This window comes from Homo sapiens, chromosome 7 (assembly GCF_000001405.40).
Source record: "Homo sapiens chromosome 7, GRCh38.p14 Primary Assembly".
NCBI lineage: Eukaryota > Metazoa > Chordata > Mammalia > Primates > Hominidae > Homo > Homo sapiens.
In genome coordinates, this window is record NC_000007.14 from 16,229,861 (window position 1) to 16,250,613 (window position 20,753).

The following is a 20,753-nucleotide window of genomic DNA, read 5'->3' on the forward strand; positions in this document are numbered from 1 at the left end:
AGTATTCATCTTTTCTTCATTTCTGAAGGACACCTTTGCTGGGTACACTATTCTTGGCTGACAGTTTTTTTTCCCCCTTTTCAGCATTTTAAATATATCCTTTTGTTTTTTCCTGGCCTACAAGATTTCTGCCAAAAAGTCTGCTGCTAGCTATATTTGAATTCCTTTATGTTATCTGCTTCCTTTCTCTTGCTGCTTTCAGGATCTTCTTAGTCTTTGATTTTTGATAGCATTATTATAATATGTCTTGGAGAGTCACCTTATTTGGTTTAAATTTGATTGGAGACCTTTGACATTTCTGTACCTGGATATTTACACTGTTCTCCAAAATTAAAAACAATTGTTACTATTTAAGTAAGCTTTCTGTCTTTTTCTCCTTCTTTAATGCCTGTGACTCAAAGATTGGCTCTTTGGATGCTGTACCATAAACCCTATAACCTTTCTTCATTCCTTTATTTCTTTCTTCTTCTATTTATTTCAAAATAACCTGTCTTCAAGTTCAGGTTCTTTCTTGTGCTTGGCCAATTCTGCTGTTGATGCACTCTATTGCATTTTTCATTCCCTACATTGTATTTTCACCTCCAGGATTTGATTTTTTGAAAATTGTTTCATGCATCATCTAGTAGAAGCTAAAAATATTATTTCCATCTGATTATATTTCACATTCTGGTCACTGTTTTCTTCATTGTGTTGAATTGTTTCTCTGTATTTTCTTCAAGTTTGCTGAGCTTCCTTAAAGTTTTGAATTCTTTGTCAGAAAGCTCACATGTCTCCATTTCTTTAGGGTCAGTCACTTGTACCACATTTTTTTCATATGGTCATGTAATGTTTTCTTGATTGTTCTTGATGCTTTTGGTCATTTGTCAATGTCTGCACATTTGAAGAAGTAGATACTTATCCAAGTCTTCACAGATAGGGATTTGGCTTTGCCTGGTATAGCTCTGTAGCAGGTGTGACAATGCCAGAAGCCTGGGGCTCACTACATCAGTTGTTGCACTGGAACTGGCCAGAAGCGAGGGGCCACCTGCTGCTGCTGAGTGCTGTTCAGAGGACTGACACAAGTCTGGTGGTGGTATAAGATGGAGATTGAGTTTACCAAGAAAGACTGAAGCCTGGGGCTCTGGGGTCCCACCTAGTGCTGCAGCTGGTCTAGAGGCTCAGTCTGCAGTTACTGGCTTGAAATACAAAGCTGTGGGGATCACCCTGGTGTTGAGTATTATTGTGGTGGGCCAAGTGTTGGGGTTCAAGGTAAAATCTTATGCTCACTTCCTTCTTTTTCCCTAAGTGAACAATGTCTCTTCCCTATTCCATGCTGCCAGAGTTGGGGAGGAGTAACACAGGTAACAAACTGTCCTTCCTACTGTCTTCAATGCATATTTTCTTACTACCATGCTACAGCTAGGTACTGAAATCTCTCACTTGGTTTCTTTAGCCCTTGTGAACGTATTTTCACATGTGGATAGTTGTTCAAATTGATGTTTCTGGTGGTGGGGTGACAATCAGTGGATAATCCTGCTTTGTCATCTTGTTCCACCCATCCAGAACATGTTATCATGGTAAAAAGTGTTAATGGAAAGGGCTTGTCTAAACAAAAGCAGTGCTTATATATTATGATTTGTGGTCATATATCCCATTAAATATTTTTGATCATTAATTTACACATCCATACTGCAAAGGAATTTTTATTCCTACCTAACGTTACTACTTAAAATCCCACTGTGAAAAATTAGATCTTGAACAGGCAAAATTACACAGTCTAAGCTAAAACAGACTGAACTTTTTCTTATTTACATAAAAAAATTTCCAAAAATGTGGATGAATATTAAATGTGTAAAAATTAAACACTCAAAATTTAGATGAATCCAGTTTCTGTTTCTACCCAAGGGGGGAGTACTAGGGATGAAATTGTCTTTCTACCTCAACCAACTTTTAAAAAGCAAACTATATAAAACAATGTTTTTTAAAGACATTATACATGATACAATGAAGAAATAATCCCTAAGAGACACAAAACAAAGTGAGCTGTACATGTACCCCATCCTACTGCCCGCAAGAGAGTTTCAGGACATGGTACATGGAGGAATCCAGATTTCATTTCTTTTAATTGAGAGATGAAGTTAAGAATCTGGGGAGACCAAGGTAGACAGAATAGAGTCACAGGTAGAGTACCAGAGAGGAGAGAGCTTCACAGTGAGAGAGCTCTATAGAACATCAGAATATCTTCCTCATACAGACAGCAGAGAACTGATCTGTGCACCTATGTGAGAAAATTAGTCAAAGGCCTAGAAGGAACAGTACTCAATGCACACACAGGGTTGGAAAAATTGGCAATAGCCATGAGCCATACTAGAAAACTTCATAATTAATATGGTTTAAATTTCCCTACCAAAACTCACATTAAAACCTAATTGCCACTGTAACAGTATTAAGAGATAGGGCCTTTAAGAGGTGATAAGGTCATGAGCGCTTATGAAGGGACTAATGCCTTTATCATGGGAATGGATTAGTTACTGCAGAAATGTGTTCTTGACAAAAAGAATGAGTTCAGCCCACTTCTCTCTGCCATGTGCACTTGTTCTCACCTTCTGCCCTTCCACTAAGGGATGATCTTCACCAATTGTCAGTAGCATGCTCTTGGACTTGCCAGTCTCCAGAATCATGAGCCAAATAAATCACTTTTCTTTATAAATTGCCCAGTTCATGTTATTCTAACACCAGAAAACACAGTAAGTAAGACAATAATTTACAGGGCATTAGGTTGAGTATAAAGAAGGGTCTTCCCTCAGTTGTGGGAAATAATTATCTCTACACTAAATATACTAGTCCTGCTGAAAGATCAAAAAAACAAGACCTAAATGGATCAAACTGTTTTTAATTACTTACATCTGGAACAAAGCTCATATTTATAAGAATACAAAAACATCCATCACCTAAGATAAAATTCACAATGTCTAATAGCTTAAATACCAAACCTTTTAAAAAGCAGAAAATATGGCCGATTATGAGGAGAAAAATCAAACAAAACCAACCCAACTGACACCAATATTAGAACTAAGAACATTAAAACAGTTATTAAAACTATGTTCCATTTGTTCAAAAACTATAGGAAAGACTGAACATATTAAGCACAGATGTAAAATAGACCTAACTCTAACTTCAAGAGATGAAAACTAAAACATGTGATATTTTTAAAACCCCCACTAGAAATAATTAACAGAAAATTTGATATTAAAGATTAGTAAACTTGAAGACACAGCCATAAAAACGATTTTAAATTAAACAGCAAAAAAAAAGAAGGCAAAAAGAGGAAATTAAACAGACCACCAGTGAGATATGGATCATATTTAGTCAGCCTAATAAACAGGTAATAAGAGTTGCCAGTAAGTTGGGAAAACAACAGAAAAACATTTGAATAATTAATGCTGAAGACATTCCTAATTGAATGAAAATGTTAAAACCACATATCAACACATCTTAAGTATGCACGCAAAAAAGAAAAATCTTAGGCAAAGAAAGGAGGAAGACACTGTGACCCATAATGAGGAGATACATACTTCCTTTCAATCTAACCCAGAACTGATAGGCATCAGAATCTTCAAAGATATTATAATGGTTTTTGTAATTAAATCACATATATTCAAGAATTAGAGAATATATTAAAAAGGACCTAAATCAAACTTCTAGAGAGGAAAACTACAGTGACTAATACAAAAAATACTGTTGTTTAAAATTCAATGCATGTCTGCACACATAAGACAGTACAATGATGTATACCATCTCAGCACATGGATGCTGAGCTCAATTAAATGGCCAGCCAGAGCAAGGGAGCATCTGTTTGGCACATGCTTTCATAATCGGGTACAATCGTAATGCACATTTGAAGAAGCAGATACTTATCCCAGTCTTCACAGATGGGGATTTGGCTTTGCAACAATAAATGAATGAGTGAAATATCAAATTCTGTTGACATACTGTAATATTAGCATTTATTTTAAGTTTGAAGGTAACTTTTGTTCTACTTTATATTTATGACAAGGGTAGAGGCTATTCACTTTCAGGCTGCTGGGTCCGTTTAATTGAAAATGATCAACTGCAAGAAAAAATGCTTCTGTACCTGTTAATATTATCAGTATTTAATAGGGCAGCCAGTTTACTATATAATCCAAATAAAAGGAGACAGGAAAAAAGAACAATTATCACTCATAATATTTTATTTCAAACTTTTGTTTTCAACTTAACATTTCTAAATGTTGCACATATAAACTAAAACAGCAATTTAGTGTTCATAATGTAATTTTTGGTTTACTTAATATAGTAGCGATCCATTTAAAATTTATTCTGGGTTAAATAAAGGATGCTATCTCCAACAAAAAGTTTGAATACCACTCCCCAAATTTAATTTTTAAGAGGAAAATGAAGTCCCATTTAGAAATGAGAAATACTTCAAAGGTTAATACTACTGTTCAGGACACATACAGAAAACAATTTAAAATAAGACATAAGCAGTCATTTATTGACACAATAAGATGCTTCATAAAAACTAAAAGCAGGCACTTGTAAGTTAGACAATTTTGAAATAAAAAACGTTTTTCTAAAAGGCAAAATGAAAAATTTTTTAATTGAATTCTACTAAAAAGATCAAGATAGTAAAATGCATGAAGTTTAAACTTATATACTGTAAATGTCATAAAAACTCACAACTACTATTATTCTCCTTAATAGAATGTAGCCATTACTTGAGTTGCAATTTTTATTATTTCCTCATATCTGCCTCCTTCTTTTCTGCAAGTCATCACAAAGCACCTCGTTGTAGAAGACAGCACTAGAACAGGGTACGATAGGAGACAACATAACTTGGAACATCAAGTCATGTTCAAATGAACAAATGTTTCTGAATATCTACACATGCTGACTTCTCAAAGGAGAAGGGATATGAGCACAAAGGTATTAGGGAAGGATTGCAAGAGGAAATGTCACTCAAATTTTTAAGGAGAGTTTGGCAAGTAAACAATTAAAAAAAGAAGGTGTTTCAGGTAGAAAGAAAAACTCATGCAGGAAACACATCTAAGTCAGGTCACAGGGTACATGTGGAGAACTATAAATAACTTAGTATTTCCAGAGGGCAAACTACTCAATAAGGAAATGAGAAAGACAGAACAGTAGAATTAGGGAAGAGCCAGACCAGGCCAAGGCTTTATGATCTGAGTTTTGTCCATTAAGAGATGAGAAGCATCTGAAAGTTTTCAATAAGGAGAGTAACTTGGTAAATTTATACTAGCAAAATCTCTCACGGTGGCTATGGTAAGCTCATTTGGAAACAAAAGAGAGAAGTTGAGATGAATAGTTCAGAGAAGGAAAAAGACTTTCAAACATTTAAACTGCATGCATTTGAACATTTCTATCAAAACTTTGAGATAGGATGACATGTAGGGATAAAAACACGTAAGTCAGTGTATGAGTAATACTTTAAATCGTGAGGCTTCATGACCCAGAGAGTGCATGTCTGTTAAAGAAATGCCTAACACATGCAGGATAAAGGTACTAATAACTGTGGCAAACTAGGTCATTTCAGATTGAAAATCTATATCAAAAATCAGCAAAGTATGGGTCAAGCCTGGTCTGCTGCCTATTTTGTAATACAGTATTCCTGGAATACAGCCATACCCATTCTTTTACATATTGTCTATGACTGCTTTGACATGAAAACAGCAGAGTTGATAGTTGTGACAAAGACTGTGTAGACAGGCCACAAAGCCTAAAATATTTACTATCTGTTTCTTTACAGGAAAAAATTGCCTATTCCTAAAGTAAAAGAAGGTATCTTAGAGCCAGGCAAAGAAAGGGCTTGAGTTACTTCTTTAAAATGAGAGCATTCTACTAAATGATTTTCAAGATCCTTTTCCCTTGTAACAAAATAGGTTTGTACTATTCGAAAAGGGCAAGCATTGGCATTACTCATGAACATTATGTGATACAGTGAAATGATCACTAGGCTTAATTTTGAACTGGGGATAATGCTATCTGTGATAATCAACTCTCAGGGTTGCTCTGAAGACTAAAGCCCTGGGATCATTCATTTTAAAAGAAAAGAACGGTGACTCATCATTTCAAGCTTTTCAGTAAGTGTCTGTTATTACTAACATTAACCTAATTATACTAATAATATACATTAGCAGGCCACATTTGCTGGGAGGGCTCTGGAAATTATAAATGTATTTGAAGTTCCATCTCATATCAATGGTAAGAGCAAGAAACACAAGCTCATAGTTGGATTTTTGATAGTTGAGGAAACAACTCAGAACTCAGTCATTCTATAAATACATTAACTAAGAAAATTTAAATCTAGAGGCCTCTCACTATATTCTCGAAGTGGAAATACTACTCAGTAGGCAGAGGAGTCATGCTGGTGACTTTAGCCTGTCCTACTGTTCCCAAATAAGTTTTTCAGTATTGACTCTGGGACTACCTTGACAACACTTGCTACATTCCACCTTAGCAAGTAAAAGTAGAATTAAGCTTAAGTATTGAGCATTTAAGTAAAATTAAGTTCCATAATTCCATAAAACAAAATCTCTGGTACCCAGAAAATTGAATCATATTATACTTTTCAAAAGTATCACACTTAAACTTATTGCTAACAGGATTCAAGCCAAAAAAATCTGAATCTAGAAGTTTCTGGCACTGATTCCATTAGCTTTCTATACTTTCCATACAAGAACAGTTCAGGCTTTCCAAAACCTGCAAAAGTAATCTATTTTTAGGTGGCTACAGATCTTAATCCTAAGGCAACAGCATATAAGCCTGGTAATATTCTTACCATCTTCCTGTCTGCCAATAATTCAACCAATAGAAAAGGTTTTTTTCTGTTTTTATTTTTCAGAATATGAAGTATTACAGTAAAAAGGATTTCACTAAAAAAAATCATCTACCATACAGACACTATAGAAGGCTTGGAAAAGACATTGTAATATAAAAGATATATTTTAAATTGTGTCTATCCCTGGAACTCTATTAAAATTCAATATTAAGAAAGTCACAAAGGAGTCTAACTTGCCTTTCAAAGTAAGCTTTAAGAGCTTTCGTGCGCGCGCACACACACACACACACACACAAACTTTTGAATATGAATAAAATCTTTTTAATTATACTTTGCCAAAAAATCTGGGATCTTCATCTGCCTATTCAACCTTAAAAAACAAACCACAAAGTTCCCTCTCTAATCTTCCGTATCTTACTATCATTCGCCAAGTTTTATGAGACATAAAATTAGAGGTTATACTTCTTTTCTCTCATTTATTTAAGCTTCAATTCTTAATGCTTTAATCTCTTAAATGTATCTTGATTTCATTTTGTTCACTCCCACTAAAACTATCTGCCTTTGTTTTGCCTGCTATAACACATACCATCGACCAGATGGCTTATTAACACCAGAAATTTATTTCTCACAGTTCTGGAAGTTGGAAGTACAAGATCAGATTGCCAGCATCATCAGGTACTCATGAGGGCCGTCTTCCAGCTTGCAGACTGCCAACTTCTCATTGTGTCCTCAGGTGGTGAGAACAAACCCTGACTCTTCTTAAAATGGCATTAATCTCATTGATGAGGGCTCTACTCTCAAGATCTAATCACCTCCCAAAGGACCCACCTCCTAATACCATCATTATGGGGGTTAACCATATAAATTTTGAGGGGACACAAACATTCAGTCCAATACACTAACCTAGTCCTCACTACCACTATTATTTCTTGTACTATTGTACTGCAGTAGCCTCCCAACTAAACCACAAATTTTTCTGCTTATTTTAATCTACTTTCTGTCCTGCATCCAGGATGTATAAAATGGAAATCTGATCACATCAATTAATACTAGGCAGTGCTGCTTTATAGACTTCAAACTTAGAAGGCCCAGCTCAAACTCAACACTTTACAATCTGCCATTCCTTCAGTTTCAGACACACTCAGTGGCTCTTTCTAATTCCAACCACTCTATGTGCTTCTTTGTCCATATAGAAATGCCAGTCCTCTCACTCCTCACAGAGTTGGACCCTGCTCAGTCTTCCAAATCTTGGCTTCCTCTCACATCCTTAAGATGACTTCTCCAGGCTAAATTGCCTCTTTTTCAAGCACACCTAGCTAAATTTCTCAAACCTTAGATGGTAGATAGAAGGGAAAGGGACCAGGGAATTTGTCAACTCCCAGTCACTAAAGTACTTTCCTGGCTAACTCTGGTCATTTTAAGTAAACTCTTATTATGAATCCTTATTTTAGAAAAAAACAGACCAATACAATTATTTCCTTAATATATAATAACCTGGAAAATTAGCTTATATAGAATATTTCAGAAATCTAAAGTAAGATGCTGTTTTTTTAAAAAAGATTATATTATCAAATAAGCTCCATGTAGGCCAAAATATCTATCGCACAGACATTAAATCAATACTATGTGAATCCATATTAAGTAATCTATTAGGTAAGGGAGAGAATAAGATCATTCCCTGCCAAGTGCTAACTGGATAGTATATATAAAATAAGTTTAAAATGAATTGGTAAGAAGAAACAGTGTGAGCATTACTCAATATGGAGTCATTCTCAGATGGAAGGGCTTGGATAGACATGAAAGGATAGATTCACTGATGAAAAAATATTTTGTAACAGTTACTAAGCAGAAAGAAAAAACAATGAAACACAAAAATGGAAAATTTAGACTTAATCTGTAAAAATTGGACATAAAAAAGGAGGATAAGAAATGGACAAATACAAGAGAAAACATCAAAATAACCTATGAGTCTTGTGATAAGAATTAACATAGAAGGTCTCAAAAATGGCTTGAAATAGGAATACCATATCACCTGATTCATGTTTAACATGACTGTTAAAACCTAAATTATTCTGCTAAATCTACACATTAAAATCATGCATAAGAGCATATGAAAGCAAAAAGACTTCACAGCATGTTCTAGTATAGAAAATATTTTTAGAAAAAGAAGCCATTTAGGTCTGGGCACAGTGGCTCATGCCTGTAATCCCAGCACTCTGGGAGGCCAAGGTGGGTGGATCACTTGAAGTCAGGAGTTCGAGACCAGCCTGGCCAAAATGGTGAAACCCCGTCTCTACTAAAAACACAAAAAATTAGCCAGGTGTGGTGGCAGGTGACTATAATCCTAGTTACTCAGGAGGTGGAGGCAGGAGAATTGCTTGAACTGTGAGGCAGAGGTTGCAGTGAACTGAGATCATGCCACTGCATTCCAGCCTGAGCCACAGAGCAAGACTCTGTCTCAAAAAAAAAAAAAAAAAAAAGCCATTTAGATGCCATCAAAGGCATCCCACTCTGTTTACAGATCAGGATTTTGAACTAAATTCAAAAACATTAAGTAACTTGGACAGGTTAAGAGACACTTGTTATTTGAAGACCTAGTACTTGTGCCTTAAATCTTAACTCTAGATTTGGTATCCTTACCATGCTCATTTTACAAGTTACATTTATACATGAAGTAATGCTCTTTTAAATATTATAATAACAAAGCCATATTAAAAGGCATACTTAAATTGCATTAAGTTTAGGTATTAATTACAAAATATAACCATTAACTTTAATAAATGATATTGAAAATACAATATTTGGTTCCATCTTTGTAAAGAAATAGCATGTGAGAATTAAAGCTAAAGTCTATTTCCATTATTTAAATAGAAGTCAATAGCAAAAAAAAAAAAAAAAAAAAAAAAACTAGTGAGAGAAGTTGCCAGGCATCTTTTTAAAAAACTGAATGACCACATAAATTGTTCAAATTTCTTACCTAGGGCTACGATCAATGTGAAATGCCTAACAAAGTCTAGTTTCATTTATTTTGCCTCCTGTGCATTTCATCTTAAATGTTATAAACTGATTTACTAGAATAGCACTGGAAAATAAATTCACAATCTTGCCAATCTCAGTCATCTGACCAACTTGACAAAACTACTTAAAATAGGGAAATAAATAGCAATGCCAAACTCTATGCTTAATCAAGAAAAATTTACTCATAAAACTTAGACAAAGTCCTCTGGAATTCATTTTATTCACACATTGCTTCAGAATTCCATTCTATCTGAAAATAACTTACCATTAAAAGAATGAATACTAGCGAGGTATGCCCTATGAGAATCATTTCTTTACACATCAGTTACATGTCCATCACAACTAATCTCAGGGAGTATTCTATATCCCATAACACAAACTTTCCATTAACCATTTAGTCATAAGCAAAGATCTCCTAAAAGTTACAACAACACCGTCAATTCTTTCTATTCAACATCTCCTACTAGAATGATTTCATCATTCCTCATTTTTGTGTTAGAAATGAATCCATTCATGACTGCAACTAGATAAAGGTTCCAAAGGTATTTTTAACCAGTATTTATTTAGGTTTTCTCATTGATTTAGGCAGGAAATACCTGAGACTTACTACATCAGCAGAAAACGCATGAAAAAATTTATAGAATTTATACAAGTAATTGTATTTCTGCCACTGGAGCAGTGTACAACTATGAAAGAGAAAATTTTAATATCTCTTAAGTGCCAACATAAAAATTCAGTATATAATAAAGCTATAGTTTTTCTGATTAAAAAAAAATTGGAAGAATCCATAGGCTACAGTAGCAATAAGGTTGAGACAGGAATGGAACAGGGATTTGGACTGGCCTGCTCTTAAAGTCAATCATTGGTTATTACACATACACACACACACACACACACACACACACATTCACACACACACTATTCATTTAAAAATGTAAACTATCAGGGACCTGAAACAGATAATAAAAAGTAAACCCAATATGGATGCAGTGAGAACTAAAATAGCCAGCTCTTTTGTTTGATATGAACTTGTGCCTTGAAAACACATTTTCCTAGTCTAGTAATAATAGAGTTAACAGAGGAATAAGCAGGTAAGTAAAAGATGAGAAAGATATGTCTGGGATCTGGTATTAAATTTAACAGCATCATCGATTTTTATAACAAATTCAGTAAGGCTCAGTACCCTCTATGAAGCTAAAGTAAGAAGCCATTAGCACACAGAAGGAATCACTATGTTTTTTAAATTGTCATTTTTTATTAAGAAGGAATATTAAACACATATATGTGTGTATATTTTTACTTTTTCCATGCTATTACTTAGCACATTCATGAGAACATAAAAATAACAAGTATATATGATACACAGTAATACACTAGATTGATTCAGTTGCTGGCTCTGCCACTGGTGAGCTTTGGAACATTCTGGAAACAATTTACATCTGTGACAGTTTCTCCAGATGTGAAAATATCAAGTGTAAATGGATGATGACTTTCTTTTCTTTTCTTTTTTTAATTTGCTGACCTGTTCAAATACTAAATATTTTCAAGTATTTTAAAGATAATTTATTGTAATGTCAATAAACTACTTCCTAATAACTAGAACTCAATTCAATACTTTTGAAGGTTATGTTTCTCACAGTATTAAAATTCCCCCTGGTAATTTATGCTTTTAGCTAAAGTAAATTCATGAGATTTTTAACTCTCATAAAACACCAATAAAATCATTGTATATACAAGCAGAGAAAAGCAAAGCTCTCATGTAATTATCTAGATAATTACAGTAAAACTTTTGCTATGGAAAATGCGATTAACTATTTTATCAAGTAAAATTAAAGAGTGTGCTTTATATTTTGAACTTAGATTTGTTGCCAATTTCTTCCCACTTTTAACAATTAAACACTTATTTGGTACATATTATATGAACTTGCTGTGTTTCTTTAAAAAAGCTTTAAATAACAAAATATTGCCCACTATTTTATCCAATAGTAGAAAAGGATATTTTGGGAAAACCTTGCCAGAACCAAATACATAAGGAACTTTATTTTACTTTTTGGATGTGGGAAGGTATTATTTGTGGTTTTACATAATACCGCTAAAAAACACATATAGTTCGTTTTTTTCTCCTGAAATCTCCTTTATCACTGGGTAAAAAAACAGCTCTCTGATCACTAACTTGTAAGCAAGGAACCCAGCCTACAGTTCAGATTCTTACGGCCTATAAATCTTGTTTAATGTAGTTAAAAATCTATTCTTTTTTTTTTTTTTTTTTTTTTGTTGGGGGGAGATAGAGTCTCGCTCTGTCACCCAGGCTGGAATGCAGTGGTGCGATCTCGGTTCACTGCCCCCCGGGTTCCAGCGATTCTTCTGCCTCCGCCTTCTGAGTAGCTGGGATGGAACTACAGGCACCCGCCACCACACCCGGCTAATTTTTTGTATTTTTAGTAGAGATGGGATTTTACCATGTTAGCCAAGATGGTCTCAATCTCCTGACCTCGTGATCTGCCCACCTCTGCCTCCCAAAGTGTTGGGATTACAGGCTTGAGACACCGCGCCCAGCCAAATCTAATCTTTTTAAAGTGATTTTTACATGAGAAATTTTATGAATTTACCTTTTAGTACTGCAACACATTTACTATATTACTTCCTTTTTCTAAGAATGTTTTCATCATTACTTAATGAACAAAAACACTTAAGAGTAGAAAACAGAGAACTGGATATGTCCCATGTTCATATCATATCTTTTGTGACAGGTCACCACCCAAAAAACTTTTAGAAAATCCTTTTGGAAAAATGCAATCTGACAGAGGTGGTAGCAATACTACACACCCCCGTAAATGCAACGAACAGAAGGCTAACAATAACTTCAGTCAAATCAGGGCAAAAATTGAGCTCCTCGACAACAGAGTATAGACTAAGCATTTAGAAAAATCACATATGAAAAAAGTTTCAAACATAATTCTGATAGAATTTTATTTTTACAAAAGAAAGTGCTGGTTTGTAGCATTAGATTTTTCTTCTTAAGACATAAGGGATCTAAACTTGTAAAATTCCGTTATGCTGACCAGTCTCCAATTAAAAAAAAATTTTTTTCACCTAAGCAGGGATATTCTCTTAGTATAAGATGTGGTGTTATCAGGCAAGTATTTCTAAAAGCTCACAGTTAAAAGACTGCATAGAATCATAATGTCATACTAACATACAGATTCATTAAGAACAGAACATTTATAATATGACCCACACGACAATTTCAGGCCACTTAATGCTGAAATCTGCTTTACTTCAAGTAATCAATATCACCACCAGTCTCTAAATGGTTTGGGTCTGTGTTCCCACCCAAATCTCATTTCAAATTGTAATTCCCACATGTCAAAGGCGGGACCTATAATCCTGATGTGTCAAGGGAGGGAGGCAATTGAAACATGGGGGTGGTTTCCCCCATGCTGTTCTCGTGATAGTGAGTTCTCCTGAGATCTGATTGTTTTGTAAGTGTTTGGAAGTTCCTCCTTCATTCTTCTCTCACCTGTCGCCTTTTGAAGAAGGTGCCTGCTTCTCCTTCCACCATGATTGTAAGTTTCCTGAAGCCTCCCCAGCCATGTGGAACTGTGAGAATTAAACCTCCTTTGTTTACAGGTTGTCCTGTCTAGAGTAGTATCTTTATAGCAGTGTGAAAACAGACTAACAGATGATGGTAAAAATCTGTAGAATTCTGAGAACTCAATATAATTACAATAAAATAAAGTTACATCTAGCAAAACATAAGTATTTTATTAAGTTGGTCAAAGTAATATTGGCAGACTCCTTAAATCATGCTAAATAGCATAGAAATGAGAACTTCTCAAAAGAAGACTACATGAAACATATAAAAATAAAGGAGAATAATGACTGAAGAGATGGTCCAAAAATATTTCTAATATCAAAGGATTAATAATGAATATTTTTAGAAATCTAGAAGTACCCTAAAAATATTTTAGAAAAAATAACCACCTCAAAGCTGGGTGCAGTGGCTACGTCTGTAATCCCAACACTTTGGGAGGCCAAGGTGGAAAGATTGCTTGAGCTCAGGAGTTTAAGACCAGATTGGGCAGCACAACAAGACCTCATCTCTACCAAAAATTAAAAAAATTAGCCAGGCATAGTGGTGTGCACCTGTACTCCCAGCTACTTAGGAGGCTGAGGCAGGAGGATCACTTGAGCCTGGGAGATGGAGGCTTCATTGAGCTATGATCACAGTATACTCCAGCTTAGACAATAGAGTGAGATCCTGTCTCAGTCAATCAATCAACCAATAACCACTTGAAATGAAGCATATCACAGCATACTATTATATAATGTCTACAAGATTATACAAAAAGCTTAATTTTGCAAACATAACCTAAAGGATTTTAAGAAGATAAGACTATTTTAATAAGTATCTTAGTTCTTTTAAAAACAAAGTCTCAATTTTTTTTTTCTGCTCTTCATGGTGAAAATTTGTTCCCTTCTGTAAGTGGATCTTAGAATAGTAGCCTCTTACTAGTGCCAATTTATCTTAGCTAACAAAAATTTCCCACGTTAAATAATCTCTAGCCCATTTCACCTTTCATTAGAGACAAAAAGTTGATCTTCATGTAGTCAAGATCTCTGCAGAACCTAAAAATAAAATCCAATTATGCTAGATACCAATGTACCAACAACCAAGCACCATTAACTATCCACTCACTGCTTAACTTCTTCCAGGAGAAATAATATAGATGAGGTTCAAAGTTACATGACCCTTTAGAATATCTATTGAATGACAGATACCAGGGAATTCCAAAGTATTTTTATATACTTGAGAACGTAAGAGACAATGGAGGTTTCATCAGTATTGTATGCTGAAACAAATTTCTACCACTTAAACCTAACCCAATGTTGTTTTTGCCAAATGCCCACCTAAGTTGACATTCAGCCTCATTTTTCTTTAAATATCTGTTCTTGTAGAGTAAAAAGTGATGACGCTGCAAATGACAACCTTAACTAGTCTCTCCATTGAAAAGCCTCATAAATGTCTAATAGCCACAATTTTACTTGGCTACTTCAGATGGACTGAAATTGGAACTTGAAGACCCTTGTATAAGAAAAAGAACCGTTGTAAACCATTGCAAATCTCAGCCAAGACAAAATGGCCTTTAAACATTTACAATAAATGCACTGAATATCTGTGGAATCACATAACTCAAAAATAAGAACAGACATATTTTTCTATAACTTTGATATCATTTTGTAATATATTTTCTGATGAATAAAACCTACTTGTTTAGGGAAGCAAGTGATCACACTCCTTTTGACCATTCTTTTCAAATTTTAAAGTTTTTTAACAAAAGTCTTACATTTAAAAAAAAAAAAAAGCTTGTGGTAGGGCCTCTTTCTTGGTTTAATCTTCCAGAAAAGTTAATTCAGACAGAATGACAGAGAACACTATAGCCTCTGAAGTGCCTGATAGGCAATTTTCCAATTACAAACATATGTATACATGTCTGCATATGAATTTGCACATGCAAACACTCTATGTATGTATGTGTATCAGTAGTTTTCCCTCTTACTAATGAGCAAACTGTGATATATCTAGATTTAAGACTTTCATTTTACTCTTTTATAATTATCATATTTTCCATACATCTATTAATTTGGTGCACATTTGAAATGTTCTGCCAAATTTTCATTAATAGGAAAACTGAAATTGCTTTCTGGCCATTTTTGGTGAAGGTGGTATCAGAAGGAAAAAGGATGAAGCCTGATCAGTCATATTCACAATCACTGACAGGACAATTCAAACACCCAGACACTATTCACTTGCCTCTCCATCCAAGAAGCCAGCATTACTTACTGTACCCTTTCTAGTGATTTGCTCCATCCTATGGATACAGATTCTAGACATAATCTAGTGACACATTTTTCTATTAAGGTAATAATGCTCATAATATCACCACACTAAGTCAGCCTATGCAATGGGAAAGTAACAAGCATACCTCAAAAATATTGGGAGTTTCCCTCCAGACTACTGGAGCCAATAAAGCAAATATCACAATGAAATGAGTCACAAGAAATTTTTTATTTCCCATGTCATATAAAAGTCATATTTACATTATACTATCATCCGTTACGTGCACAATAGCATTATGACCAAACAATAATATACATATCTTAAATTAAAACTGTGTATTGCTAAAAATCCTAATGAACATTTGAGCCTTCAGCGAGTCCTAATCTTTTTGCTTGCATAATGGCTCCTGACTGTTCACGGTGGTGGTTGCTCAAGGTTGGGTGGATGTGGCAACTTCTTAAAATAAGACAACAACATAGTTCGCTGCCTAGAGTGATCCTTCTTTTCATAAAAAAAATTTCTCTGTAGAATGGGATACTGTTTGATAGCATTTGACCCACAACAGACTTTCTTTCAAAGTTGGACTTAATCTTCTCAAACCCTGCCACTGCTTTATCAACTAAGTTTATATAATATTGTAAATCCTTTATTGTCATTCCAACAACGTTCACAGTATCTTCACCCGAAGTAGATTCCATCTCAAGAAACCACTTTCTCTTTGCTCACCCATAAGAAGCAACTCCTCATCCATCTAAGTTTTATGAAATTGCAGCAATTCAGTCATATATTCAGACTCTACTTCTATTCTCTTGCTATTGCCACCACATCAGCAGTTACTTCCCCTGTTGAAGTCACATCGCTCCAAGTCTTCCATGAGGTTTGGATTATGACCCCCCATGAATCACGAATGTTCCTAACGGCAACTAACAGGGTGAATCCTTTCCAGAAGGTTTTCAATTTACTTTGCTCAGATCCATCAGAGGAATCTATCTAGGGCAGTGATAGCCTTACACAAGGTATTTCTTCAAAAATAAGACATGAAAATCTAAATGACTCCTTGATTTATAAGCTGACGAATAAATGTTGTGTTAGCAGATATAAAGTAACATTAATTTTTTTATACTCCATCAAAGATCTTGGGTAACTAGGTACATTGTCAATAAGCAGTAATATTTTGAAAGGAATCTTTCTTTGTGAGCATTAAGTCTCAAAAGTGGGCTTAAAATATTCAGTAAACCATGCTGTAAGCAGATGTGCTGTCATCCAGGTTTTGTTCTTCCATTTATAGAGCACAGACAGAGAGTAGACTTAGCATAATTCTTAAGGGTCCTAGGATTTTCAGAATGGTAAGTGAGCACTGCCTTCAACTGAAAGTCACTAGCTGCATTAGCTCCTAATAAGTGTCAGTCTATCATTTGAAGCTAGGCATTGACTTCTCTGTCCATAAAAGCCCTACCTGGCATGTTCTTCCAATAGAAGGCTGTCTCATCTACATTGAAAAATCTGTCATTTAGCATTGCTATGTTCATCAATTATCTCAGCTAGATCTTCTGGATAACTTAGCGCAGCCTCAACATCAGCACTTGCTGCTTGACCTTGCACTTTTCTGTTATGAAGACAATTCTGTCTTTTTAAACCACATGAATAAACTGCTAGCTTCAAACTCTTCTTCTGTAACTTCTTCACTTTCTGCAGCCTTCACAGAATTGAAGGGAATTAGGGCCTTCCTCTAAATTAGGCTTTGTATCTTTTGATTGAAAGTGACTGACACAGGACTCTTCCTTTCACTTGAACACACAGGGGTCATTGTAGGGTTATTAATTGGCCTGATTTCAGTATTGTTTTGTTTCAGGGAATAGGGAATCTCAAAGAGAAGGAGAGAGATGAGGAAAACAGTCAAAAGAGCAATCAGAACACACACAACATTTATCAGTTAAGCTTGCCACCTTATACAGATATGATTTGCAGTGTTCCAACACAATAATAGTAATATAAGAGATCACTGATCATAGACTACCCATAGCAGATATAATAAAGATGAAACAGTTTAAAATATTGTGAGAATTAGCAAAATGTGATAGAGACAGGAAGTGAGCACACACTGTGGGAAAAATGGTACCAATAGACTTGCCAGACACAGGGTTGCCAAAAAACTTCAATTTGTAAAACATGTATCTTCAGAGTGAAATAAACTGAAGTATGCCTACGTTCAAGTATTATAAAGGGATAATGTTCTGATTTAAAATAAACATTGTACAATATTTTAGCATACAGACTTTTAATTCTATTTTAAAACTAGTTGTGAGAGACATGTACACCCTAACTAAAGGGTTATCTTTTCTCTTAGCTTGGTACAGGAACAACAGAGAGCCAGACAATTCTGCCATTCACTGGGACACACGAGATGGAACTCAATAGAAGTCAAGAGAAAACTAAATTCAAATATTTACAGAGGCAATAAAAAAGCCTAGGATTGAGACACAATAGCAATGAACAGAAGAACTAACAGTTCAAAACTGAGGGCTAAGCGCAGTGGCTCATGACCGTAATCCCAGCACTTTGGAAGGCAGGAGTATTGCTTGAGGCCAGGAGTTCATGAACAGCCTGAGCAACAAAGTGAGACCCCATCTCTACAAAAAATAGAAAAAAAAATTAGCCAAATGTGGCGGCATACACCTGTAGCCTCAGCTACTCAAGTGGCTGAGCTGGAGGGATCACTTGAGCCCAAAAGGCTGAGTCTGCAGTGAGCCATAATCATGTCACTGCAATCCAGCCTGGGCAAAAGAGTGAGACTCTAACTCAAAAAGTAATTATAAGAGAGCCTATGTGCCTGTCTTTGTGCATTTGGTGGAGGGGGACAGAGAGAGAAACATAAAAGGAAAACTCACAGGTGGCAGATTCCGATTTGGGTGCCTGTAGAGCCACAGCTGTACTACCATTAAGAAAAGAAGTCAACTTACAGAGAATGCGCTTCTGTGATATATCTGATAGGCTAAATTTGAAAGGGGAGTACTCCAATGGAAGTACCTAATAAAATATTGGGAAATAGTGAGACAACTCAAGATGGCTGAATAGGAACAGCTCCCGTCTGCAGCTCCCAGCAAGATCCACGCGGAAGGCAGGTGATTTCTGCACTTCCAACTGAGGTACCTAGTTCATCTCATTGGGACTGGTTGGACAGTGGGTGCAGCCCACAGAGGGCGAGCTGAAGAAGGGTGGGGCGTCGCCTCACCTGGGAAGTGCAAGGGGTCAGGGGATTTCCCTTTCCTAGCCAAGGGAAGCCATGACAGACTGTACTTGGAGGAACAGTATACTCTTGCCCAGATACTGTGCTTTTCCCAAGGTCTTTGCAACTGGCAGACCCAGAGATTCCCTCCAATGTTTGGCTCAGTGGGACCCATACCCACAGAGCCCAGCAAGCTAAGATCTATTGGCTTGAAATTCTCGCTGCTAGTACAGCAGTCTGAGATCGACCTGGGATGCTTGAGTTTGGTGCTGGGAGGGGGCGTCCACCATTGCTGAGGCTTAAGTAGGCGGTTTTATGCTTACAGTGTAAACAAAGGCACTGGGTGGTTCGAACTGGATGCAACCCACCAGAGCTCAGTGAGGCTGACCGCCTCTCTAGATTCTGCCTCTCTAGATTCCACCTCTCTGGGCAGGGCATCTCTGAACAAAAGGCAGCAGCCCCAGTCAGGGGCTTATAGATAAAACCCCCATCTCCCTGGGACAGAGCACCTGGGGGAAGGGGCAGCTGTGGGCGCAGCTTCAGCAAACTTAAACGTCCCCGCCTGATGGCTCTGAAGAGAGCAGTGGTTCTCCCAGCCCAGCATTCGAGCTCTAATAATGGACCGACTGCCTGCTCAAGTGGGTCCCTGACACCCGCGTAGCCTGACTGGGAGATACCTCCCAGTAGGGGCTGATGGACATCTCATACAGGAGAGCTCTGGCTGGCATCTGGTGGGTGCCCCTCTGGGACAAAGCTTCCAGAGGAAGGATCAGACAGCAATAGTTGCTGTTCTGCAGCCTCTGCTGATCATAGCCAGGCAAACAAGGTCTGAAGTGGACTTCCAGCAAACTCCAACAAACCTGCAGCTAAGGGGCCTGATTGTTAGAAGGAAAACTAACAAACAGAAAGGATAGCATCAACATCAACAAAAAGGACATCCACACAAAAACCCCATCCGGAGGTCACCAACATCAAAGACCAAAGGTAGATAAAACCACAAAGATGGGGAGAAACCAGTGCAGAAAGGCTGAAAAGTCCAAAAACCAGAATGCCTCTTCTCCTTCAAAGGATCACAACTCCTCGCCAGCAAGGGAACAAAACTGGATGGAGAATGAGTTTGACAAACTGACAGAAGTAGGCTTCAGAAGGTGGGTCATAACAAACTCCTCCGAGCTAAGGGAGCATGTTCTAACCCAACACAAGGAAGCTAAGAACCTTTAAAAAAGGTTAGACAAATAGCTAACTAGAATAACCAGTGTAGAGAAGAATATAAAAGACCTGGTACAGCTGAAAAATGCAGCACAAGAACTTCGTGAAGCATACACAAGTTTCCACAGCTGAATCGATCAGGCAGAAGAAAGTATATCAGTGATTACTTAATGAAATAAAGCGAGAAGACAAGATTAGAGAAAACAGAGTGAAAAGAAATGAACAAAGCCTCCAAGAAATACGAGACTATGTGAAAAGACCAAATCTATGTTTGATTGGTGTACCTGAAAGTGACGGGGAGAATGACACCAAGTTGGAAAACACTCTGCAGGATATTAATCAGGAGAATTTCTGCAACCTAGCAAGGCAGGCCAACATTCAAATTCAGGAAATACAGAGACCACCACAAACGTATTCCTCGAAAAGAGCAACCCCAAGACACAGAATCGTCAGACTGATCAAGGTTGAAATGAAGGAAAAAAGGTTAAGGGTAGCTGGAGAGAAAGGTCAGGTTACCCACAAAGGGAAGCCCATCAGGCTAACAGCAGCTCTCTCAGCAGAAACTCTACAAGCCAGAAGAGAGTGGGGGCCAATATTCAACATTCTTAAAGAAAAGAATTTTCAACCCAGAATTTCATATC

At 36.4% G+C, this 20,753-nt stretch overlaps 1 protein-coding gene and 1 long non-coding RNA gene across 6 annotated transcripts in view; one reads left to right on the forward strand and one right to left on the reverse strand.

Annotated features, from left to right (window-relative positions):
• CRPPA (CDP-L-ribitol pyrophosphorylase A) overlaps nucleotides 1-20,753 on the reverse strand; it is a 334,014-nt gene that overhangs the window by 142,336 nt on the left and 170,925 nt on the right. The gene's annotated exons all lie outside the window — the stretch shown is intronic.
• The window catches only part of CRPPA-AS1 (CRPPA antisense RNA 1), a 60,119-nt gene that overhangs the window by 19,375 nt on the left and 19,991 nt on the right, over nucleotides 1-20,753 (forward strand). The window contains exons 2-3 of one of the 2 annotated variants that reach the window (NR_038947.1): nucleotides 6,042-6,119; nucleotides 7,449-7,492. This is a non-coding gene — a long non-coding RNA (CRPPA antisense RNA 1). Of the gene's footprint in view, nucleotides 1-6,041; nucleotides 6,120-7,448; nucleotides 7,554-20,753 lie in introns of both variants that reach the window. The other variant, NR_038946.1, reaches the window with a different exon arrangement.